Here is an 11,023-nt window from a genome sequence, read left to right as displayed (position 1 = left end):
CATAAAGATTCTAACCTTTATTAAGGTGATGTATATAATACCAAGAATATGATTTGCTTGGAGTGAAGGCTTAATTTAAATTTTTGGGAAAGTTGGGCAGGCAATAAAAATTTTAATTTTTATTCAGTAAGACTTACGAATGTTTACCATATGACCTGGAAATTCCACTCCTAGATAACTACCCAACAGAAATGAAAACATATACACACAAAGACTTGTATGTAAATGTTCATGGCAATATTATTCATAATGCCCCAAAAGTGTAAATGATATAAACATCCATCAACTGATGAATAAATAAATACAGTACAGCCATACAGTAGAATACTATTCAGTCATAAAAAGAAAAATGCTGATATCTGCTACAAAGAATTTATAGGATGAATCTTAAACAGAAATGCAAATGAAAGAAACCAAGCACATACAAAAATATGATTCCATTTATAAGAAATGTCCAGAAAAGGCAAATCTATAAAGGCAGAATAGAGATGAGGAGTTGGTTGGATTTGGGAGTGTGAATGCAGATTAATTGAAATGGGCATGATGATGAGTTTTTGGGTGATGAGAATGTTCTGAAACTGAATCCTGGTGATGGCTGCACAACTATAAATCTATTAAAATTATTGAATTTAATACTTAAAATGGGCGAGTTTTATGGTATGGAGGTGAAACCTCAATAAAACTGTTCTAAAAATTCCAGGGGCTCACCATGGACTCTATTGTTTCTTTTAATAAAGTGCACATGATTTATAATCAGGGACATGTGCAGTGCCTGGCATGTAATAATTGCTTAATAAATACATGTTGAATTGAATCAAAGTTGTGTCCCTCAAAAGAGCCAGGGAGGTCTGTACATGTGCATGCCTGACTCTGAAGGCCGCTGGATTCTGCAGTCTACCTGGAGAGGACCAGCAGCAGGATGGCTAATGCTTCTCTTCCTGAGTTTCTACATCTGCTCAGCCAACTGTGATCATCAATTACAAAATCCACATGATTATAGTGAACATACGCTGGTTTAGAGCCACACAGCTTCCCATACCTCTTAGTTTGGCAGCAATATCTCAAATTTCTTTTGGCAAAACACCCCTCCATATTTTCAGTCCATTTAGTTTGAATGGAGTTGACCTCACTGTCAGTACCAGAAATGGGCACGTGGGTCAAACCAAGTCAGTCGGTGATCCCATCTCCCTGAACACTGTGATTGGTCTGAGACAGACAGGATCCCTGCTGGGCCATTGAGACGGAGCTCTGGACTTTGATTCAAATTCAGGGAAAACAGGTTCCCCTTCTGGATTTGAGCCACTGAGGATCTACCTCTTAGAGCTTTTGGCAGGTATTTTTCCACTGTGGAAATCTTGAGGATGAAGCCATCCTGGAGGAGAGCCCAGCTAGGAGGTGGAGCAAGATGGATCCTGGCAGCATCTTTGCATCCCTGGAGTCAGCCTTCCCTGGGTGTTTCACAAGTCAATGGCAACCCTCCTTTTCGAAGTCAGCTTGGATTATGTTTTTGGTCAGTCAAAACCTGAGCCCTGAAATTGGGATACTTCTTATATCCTGGAAAAAAGAAAGGGTGGAGGTTATACAGGCCCCATGGTGTATTCGTCCTTCCCTTTTTAGATATGCATGCCAGGCAGTGGCCTGCAAGGAGCTAATGAAGTCAAACCTGAGATCCTTGCTACTTTGAAGCTAGAACTGGCCAGGTCACCCATCAGTTTTTATTAGTATTAATGATTGTACTTATAGCTACCATTTATTGCATGCTTAGTCTGTGCCAAATTCTATTTAAAGTGCTCTATGAACAGACTCTGTGCTCGCTGTTTACTCACATCATTTCATTTGATCATCCCAGCACACTGGTGAGTTGGTGCTTTTATTGTCCCCATTTTACACAGGAAGAAACTGAGGCTGACTTGCTGGGTAATAGGCATCACTCAACAGGTCCTTGTTAGGTATTAAGCATAGTTTTGAACACTTTTTGTATTCTAACTCATTAAATCTTCATGACTATTCTGTGAGGCAGGGAGTACTATCATTTCCACTTAAAAGATGAAGAACTTGAGGCCACAGAGCTGGTGAGGGCTGAGCCAGCCCATAATACAGGTCCACAGATCAAACTGCGATCCATCTGAGTTGCACTCTCATGCTCATGAATATTAAGGTTTTTAAATTTTTTTTACCACATTTAAATATGGAGTACCTTTAGATTTATAGAAAATATGCAGAGACACTATGATAAATGCATGAGATGATGGATATCCCAGTTACTCTGATTTGATCCTTCCACATAGTATGCTTGTATCAAAATATCATATGTACTCCATAAATATGTACAACTATTATGTATACATAATGAAAGAAGAAAAAATATTTGCAAAGATAATGCAGAGAATTCTGTTATGTCACATGCCCATGGTACATTTGTCAAAACTAAGAAATCAACATTGGTACATTACTGTTTAATAAAGCTCCTTGATTTGTTTGGATTTCACCAGCATATCCATTATTGTCTTTCTTTTGTGCTTGTATCTCATCCAGGACGCCATACTGCATTTAGCTCTGCTGTCTTTTTGTGAATCCCTTTCATGTTGGAGCCTTTGGAATGAATAAATGCAGTGTTTGCTCTTGGTCTTTTCTGAGTTGGAAGAAAAAAAAAAACAGTTGTGTTTGTCTCCTCTCTCCCCTCACCTCCCCTCCCCTCTTCTCCCCTCCTCTCCTCTCTGCTCCTCTCCTCTCCGCTCCTCTCCTCCCCTCTCCTTTCCTCTCCTCTCCTCTCCTCCTCTTCTCCTCTCCTCTCTCCTCTCCTTTTCTAACTTCCAAGTACCATTCTTTTAAATACTAGAACATTCACATTAGGAATTAAGACCCAGAGTTTAGACTATTACTGGACAATGTGAAAGACTATCAGCAAATGTATTTATTGGTATTGTGTTTAACTTCCTATGGTTGCTGTGTTCAATTGTTTTCATGGAAGTCTCTCCAGTCATTTAAGGCAGTTGCTGTTAAATTTTAGTGACAGATAATTCCCTTTGATTTTTCAGATGTGCGAAATGGACCTGAATTAGGCCCTGATACATGCTGAGAACTTCATGACTCTGACCTAGCATTTTCCAGTGGCCATCCATCACCACAGGGCCAGCCCCAGATATACTGAATCTACTCTCTGGGGGGGTGAGGGAGGCCTGAAATCTGCATTTTAAATAGACTTTTCAGGTGACTGGCTGCATGCTAATCTTTGAGATCCACTGGTACAGAACCTCTCATATGCAAGAGACATCCTTAAGCAAGAGTCCAAACTAAAACATAAGCACACAGCCTTTGAACCATTGTTGTGGCAAACACATTTCTTCTTTAAATCTTTAAATTTGAATTATGGAAACTATACCATATCCACTCAACTAAAACTTATCCCTGGGGGAGAGAAGAAGGATGAAGACAGAGACAGAGAATTTTAGAACATGACATCTGCCTTAGCATGAGATGGAGGATTTGAATTCGCTTTGCCTGGCATTGTCGGGTTCTCCATGCCTGTGGAGGTTCCTGTCATTCTGACTGGTGCTAATATTTGTGAGGCAGCCACTATATCTGGCACTCGGTCAATGAAACAAAGATCTAGTTTAACAGTGGAGAAAAAATTGGTAGTTCAGACTTCTCAAGAGTTATTAAAATTGTGTTCTCTATGAGTGACCCAGGGGATTTTTCAAGAGTAATTATGACTAGTTAAGACTTTAGAACTGGATTCTTGCAGAAGAAATAAATTCCTTATACTTAAGAGAAAATCCTCTCTGTAAAGTATATACATTCATCTTATAAGTCCATATATATACATATTTGGTCAGCCCTCCATATTGGAGGGTTTTGCCTCTGTGGATTCAACTAAGTGTAGATCAAAAATATTTAGAAAAAATTACTTCTGTACCGAACATGTACAAACTTTTAAATCTTGTCATTCCCTAAATAATGCACTATAACAGCGATTTACCTAGCATTTACATTGTACTGCATTAGGTATTATAAGTAACTTAGAGATGATTTAAAGTGTATGGGCAGATGTGCATAAGTTATATGCAAATACTATGCCACTTTATATCAGGGACTGCAGTATTTGCAGATTTTCAAATCTGTGGTAGGTCCTGGAACCAGTCCCTTGTGGGTACCGAGGGACAACTGCATATATATCATTTATACGTTAAGCATAATAAGCATCTACAAATTATTACATTATTTATCCCTAGTGACAGCATTTTGAGACATGTTTATCATTACCCTTTTGTAGACGTTTATCTCGAGCTCTGAGAAGTGCAGAGACTTGCTCAAGCTCACCTAGCTGGTGGGCCATGTAGGCGTGATTTGAAACCAGGTGTTCTGGCTTCAGTCTCTGCTCTCACCCGCTGCTATGTGTAGGTGCCAGCCAGAGAATGTGTGATAACCAGTGTGTGAACTAACAAATGACAGAAGAGATTAAGCATGAGAACCTGGCCACACAGGGTTGCTTATGTGTGCTGACTACCAAGACGTGGCAACTAAACAGAAATACTAATGATGTGATGTTTTCTAAGCAATGGCAGATGAACTGAAAAATTGAATTATCCGTAGCTAGTAACTAATAATGGATATAATAAGGTTAGGGCTGCTTCCAAGTGTCTGCAAATGAAAAGGAACATGACAAGGGCAGAGCATGATGATGAGGTTCTATAGGGAGACCGATGCGACATTGCAAGATAAATGGAACTTGCCTCACCTTTGACTTTCAGGTACGCCTCCCAAGCTCTGCAACTGCCTCTGATTACAAGCTCAGATTTCTCAGTCCAAAGCTTCACAGAAGGGTGGTTCTTATGAAAGGATCTGGGTTTTGTTTTTTAAAAATGTTCCTTGCAAATGATTATCTTTCTCAAGTTAATGCAAACAGTACCTGTTTGTGCTTTAGCTAATACTTTCCTCCTTCTTTAAAGACATAATATGATATTGCCATACACATTGAATGAAATCTCTGTAGCTGTATAAGTAAGACCATAATGAGTTCTGGGCTGATGCGGGGAGCACACCACCAGCAAAACAAATACAAATGTCTCCAGCGTTTTCACTCACCTTGGTTGATTTACATGGGCTGCACGCCACATTTTATCCTGATGGCTCTCATTATCCTACGGTATATGTACTACAGAGACAATAATGGATGGAGCCTCTACTTGCCAGCCTTGCACCTTTACTGTACCAAGTACAATGTTATGTGAGGAAGAGACATCATTCACTCCCTCTTAAGCAGCTTGTCTAAGAGAAATCAGTAATATTTTCTAATATGTTGAGTTCTGCTGTGCACAGCTACTTCTTGAGGGAATTTTCCTTGACACATTTGAAAAAAATTTATGAGCAGAAAAAATATTTTAATATCCTGATGAAAAATAAAACTGTGAACAATGTTTCATTACTACCAAAAGGATATAAAACATTAAATGGAAAGAAATAATTATCATTAGGTTTGTAAGAGACATTTGAAGTTTTTTAAAGTAATCTTTAAAAAAACTAATTATATAATTATAATATAAAACCATATAATTATATATTTGCATATATAATATAATATATATTGAAGAGTTCAATTGCCAAATTTTGGCTTTTCTACTCACTTTTACAGCTGGATTGTGGAGCCATGACCCTGGCTAGCCTAATGGGATGAAGCCTTCCCAGTTTGAATTGGGAGTAGAGATTGGAAGGACCAGGGACTGCAGAGAGTTCTGGTGACAGAACCAGCAGCAGCAGCAGCAAAGCAACATGGTAGTTCCAGGAACACGAGAGGTGGCCCTTTGGTGGAGGTGCACCTGTTGGGGCCTGGAGCTCAGAGCTGCAGTGACTGTTGCTGGTGTGGCCACCTTTGGTGCTCACTGTTTTGAGGCTGATTGATGATGTGGCATGATTTGAGCGGGCCTCTTGTTCCTGCCTCTTCCATTTTGTCTTGCTAATTTTCTTTTTTTTTTTTCCTTTCTTTTCTTTTCTTTTTTTTTTTTTTTGAGATGGAGTCTTGCTTTGTTGCCCAGGCTGGAGTGCAGTGGCGCATCTTGGCTCACTGCAACCTCCTCCTCCCAGGTTCAAGCGATTCTCCTGCCTCAGCCTCCCAAGTAGCTGGGACTGCAGGCATGTGTCACCACACCTGGCTAATTTTTGTATTGTTAGTAGAGATGGAGTTTCACCATGTTGGCCAGGCTGATCTCAAACTCCTGACCTCTTGATCTGCCTGCCTCGGCCTCCCGAAGTGCTGGGATTACAGGCATGAGCCACCGCACCCAGCCATGTCTTGCTAATTTTCTAAGCCCTATTCCAGCAACTCTCTTCAAGATTTCCTGAGCTTCTCAATAGGCTTTTTGTAGATTCTTTGTCTACAGTGATCAGCCAGTCAATTTTTATTACTTGCAGCCAGGAACACTGATACACTGCCACGTTTTTAATATATGCACACACCTGTGGGTTTTTATTTTTAAACAAAGTAGAAATTTTCACATATTTACTTTACCTGTTTGGTAATTCTACACTAGGCCGCGTATTTTGATTTTTCTTTGTACCAGCTGCTTCTAGTTTTATAAAATGGAGTGTTCTATAGGGTCTTTTGAAACCATAAATTAAAGAGTCTCTAAAATCCTTTCCTACTTGTTTGATAGTATCAGAGATTGATCTCTTTTTGATGATTTGCAGGATCTTTTCATAGTCCTAACCATTTTTATCTGTTGGCACTTGGTTTATGGCTGGTTGTAGTTTTCTACTTTTACAGAAGGGGAACTTCTGTATCTTCTGTGTTATGCTGGTTTAGGGTTGCTGAATTTAGCAAATAAAAATACAGGACACACAGTTAAATTTGAATTTCTGATACACAATGAATTTTCTTTAGTATATGTTTGTCATGCTTTTAATATCTGATATGGCAGCCCAATGCTGATTGAAACCTTCAGCCTCATGACCTGCTGTCACTCCTTGGAATAAAGTGTGATCCTGGGGAGTTGTGTAAGGTCAGACTGTCAGGCCTCTGAGCCCAAACTAAGCCATCTTATCCCCTGTGACCTGCACGTATACATCCAGATGGCCTGAAGCAACTGAAGATCCACAAAAGAAGTGAAAATAGCCTTAACTGATGACATTCCACCATTGTGATTTGTTTCTGCCCAACCCTAACTGATCAATGTACTTTGTAATCTCCCCCACCCTTAAGAAGGTTCTTGGTAATTCTCCCCACCCTTGAGAATGTACTTTGTGATATCCACCCCCTGCCCGCAAAACATTGCTCCTGACTCCACCGCCCATCCCCAGACCTATAAGAACTAATGATAGTCCCACCATCCTTTGCTGACTCTCTTTTCGGACTCAGCCCGCATGCACCCAGGTGAAATAAACAGCCTTGTTGCTCACACAAAGCCTGTTTGGTGGTCTCTTCACATGGATGCGCGTGAGACAGACTCCACCACGTTAAAATCCATAAAACTCCTATGTAGATTTGGGAATTAAGTCACCACTTTCTTCCTTTTTCAAACTGATTAGAACTGTGCAATTGTGGGTAGAAATTCCTTAAAGTTTCTAGCACATAGATGATATTCTATTTTCTAAGTCTACTATAGGCTGTTTTTGAATTTTTTTACTCTGTTGATTACTTCTTTTGCAGCGAGGGGAGACTATAGATTTGGGTTGATGATGCTATTTTACTTTGAAGTCCAAATTATTTAATACTTACATGTTTCATGAAATGCATGTGATATGCATGCATACATATATTTACATACACACACGTAAAGTGCTGGCTTAATCTGTAGAAATTTTATGTGGCGGGTATTTTTTCCTTTTATTGTAAATTTGGAAGTTTATGCTTTGGACGTTAAGTATTGTGATTGCATCCATGACATTTATTTGCGAATCCAGCTCCCTCATCATCTTTGTTTCCTTAGCCCACATTCATTCCCTTACACTAATATGCACAATACAAACACAACTCCAATAATGTTGTTTTTACCAATATTCCAAATGCCAAAACTAAATTAGAGAACAAGAAATCCAGCCTCAATTTGGAAATGCTCAGCAATTTCCCTTGATTTGCAAAATTAAATAAAAGCCATCTTCTTTAAAAGTTTGCTGGTAATTTTTTTTGGCAGGGGCGCGGGGGGAGCAGGGGCATATCCTGTCCTTCTAAGAGGAAAAAAAACGTGGCTGAAAGTAACTCTTATAGACAGATGGGATACATTTATTTGTTTACTTAAAAATCAGTAAAAACTTTCCCTTCTTTAGAAATTCATTATTGTCATTTGAATAACTTAGAGAACCTGAACAGAAATTCCAAAGAACTCCTAAGCACTGGGTGACACTCTGACTCATGAGAGAGCATTGGTTTTTATTTTTTTCTCTGAAATAATGCCTGAGGGCTTTTGAGGGAGGTACTAGAAAATTTGAAGAGCTATTCCTATTTGATTACTTCTGAGAAACTAGGATTCAGACAGAAAGAAAATAGTCAAAAGTAGATAAAACATTATTTTTGCCATTAAAAAGGAAAAAAAACGTTCCTAGTAAAGTACAGGAGTGTAGATGAAAAATTCTGAAACCTGTAAGTATTCAAATCCAAGAGTATTTAGTCACAGTGATTCTAGAACTAGTGTTTTGGGTCAGCCATTTTTCAGACATACATCAAAGAGGTTAAAAGACAAAAATTGAGGGATGAAAATGGAAAGCCACACTCTGCCTCCACCAAGGATAGAGTAGGGGTATAAGACTGATACCACTAATGTCTATTCGATATCCATGTTCTCTGAGTTTATTACTCACAGAGTGAGTTTGTTTAGGGTAACAAGCTTTGCAGAAAAGTACAAATACAAAGCCATCTTTAGCCAAGGGCTGAGATCTCTTTAAATCTCTGATCCACTTTGAATCTTTCTGACGACTTCTACTCACCAGCCAAAGAAAACTGGCTGCTTTTAAGGACAAACCAGATGACAGGCAGCAAGTCTACACAGAGCAGGTTGGGAGAAAAGCTGCCCTTTTTCTCTGGATCTTCCTGTATGTTCCTTAGCTCCTCTCTTAGTGCCTCTCTATCTGCTGAGGTCTAAGGGTTTCCACTCTGAAGCACCTCTGCCACAAAAACCCATGAGTGAAACAGAAAGAAAGAGGGTGAAGTCATTCAGAGGCATTACTGATATGGTCCTGGGAGTAGCCACAATGGTGCTTCGTGGCTGAATCTGTGACCAGAGAGAAGAATCAGTAGAAAAGTTTGTAATAGTAGACACTAGTGAGACATTTCTGGAGAATAACTTAGAATCACATGGCAAAATTCTTAAAATATTCACGCGTATTGACCAATAATCTCTCTCCTAAGAAATAGCTCTTGAAAAGTATCATCATTGCGGGTCAAAAAAAGATAATGAGATGTTCATCATAGACTTATTTATAACATCAGACAGCCTGGAACCAATCTCTATGCTCTGCATACAGTTAAATAAATTAAGCTGCGTATATTAAAAATGTTATAGATTATTTTTATGGAAATGAAAAAATGTTTTAATATACTGTTAAATTTTAAAATCCTATGACAAAAGCCTATACAGCACAAGTTAATGTGTGCATCAGAGGGTCAATAGTACAGTTAAGAGCCGAGCTCTGGAGCCAGATTGCTTGTGTTTAAGCTGTCTTGCCACTAACTTGATTTTTTTTGAATTATTATTTTTTATTTCAGTTTTTGGGGTAGAGGTGGTTTTTGGTTACATGGATGATATCTATAGTGGGGAATTCTGAGATTTTAGTGCACCCATCACCCGAGCAGTGTACACTGTAGCCAATATGTAGTCTTTTATTCCTCACCCCTTCCCAACCTCCTCCTACCAAATTCCAAAGTCCACTGTATCACTCACTGTATACCTTTGCTTCCTCATAGCTTAGCTCCTACTATTTGCTTCTTCATAGTTTAGCTCCTACTTGTAGCTTATCTCCTCATAACTTAGTTCCTACTCATAGCTTAGCTCCTAGTGAGAACATACAATATTTGGTTTTCCATTCCTGAGTTACTTCACTTAGAGTAACGGCCTCCAACTCCATCAAAGTTACTGTGAAAGACGTTATTTTATTCCTTTTTCTGGCTGAGTAGTATTCCATGGTATATAGATAACCATATTTTCTTTATCCACCTGCTAGTCAATGAGCACTTAGGTTGGTTGTGTATCTTTGCAATTGTGAATCGTGCTGCTAGAAACATGCATGTACTTGTGTCTTTTTCATAGAAAGACTTATTTTCCTTTGGGTAGATACCCAGTAATGGGATTACTGGATCTAGTGGTAGATCTACTTTTAGTTCTTTAAGAAATCTCCATACTGTTTTCCATAGTGGTTGTACTAATTTACATTCCCACCAGCAGCGTAAAAATGTTCCCTTTTCACCTCATCCACACCATCTACTGTTTCTAGACTTTTTAATTAGGGGCATTCTTACAGGAGTAAGGTAGTATCTCCTAGTGGTTTTAATTTGTATGTTTCTGGTGATTAGTGATGTTGACCATTTTTTCATGTTTGTTGGCTGTTTGTATGTCTTCTTTTGAGAAATGTCTATTCATGTCCTTTGTTGGGCAAATTACTTAACTGGGCAGTGATACTTCTTGTACCTGATTGTAACAGATTAATTCTCATTTGTTAATCCACATAATCATGACCATAGTAATATATGACTATAATAGCTAGCAGTCTGAATCTGTTTTATACGCTAGGCACTGTTCTAAACACTTTATGTGTAGTAACTTAGTTTCTCTTCACAAACAACCCTATTTGCAGGTATTTTCCCCATTTTGCAGATGGGATAAATGAGGCTTTCCTATGCTTGATTTCATCTCTTATCATGGATGACTGCAGTGTATTTGCTTTCCATAAATTATATCTACCTCTAATCCATTCTTGTCACAGCAGAAAGAAAAACTGTTAAAATGCAAACTAAATAACATCAGTCACACCCTCTACTTCAAACTCTGCAGTGGCCTTCTATTCTGTGGGAGAAAGTACAATCCCAATGTCTTAGCAA

This window comes from Homo sapiens, chromosome 20, assembly GCF_000001405.40.
Source record: "Homo sapiens chromosome 20, GRCh38.p14 Primary Assembly".
Taxonomy (NCBI): domain Eukaryota; kingdom Metazoa; phylum Chordata; class Mammalia; order Primates; family Hominidae; genus Homo; species Homo sapiens.
This window is presented reverse-complemented; position numbering follows the sequence as displayed.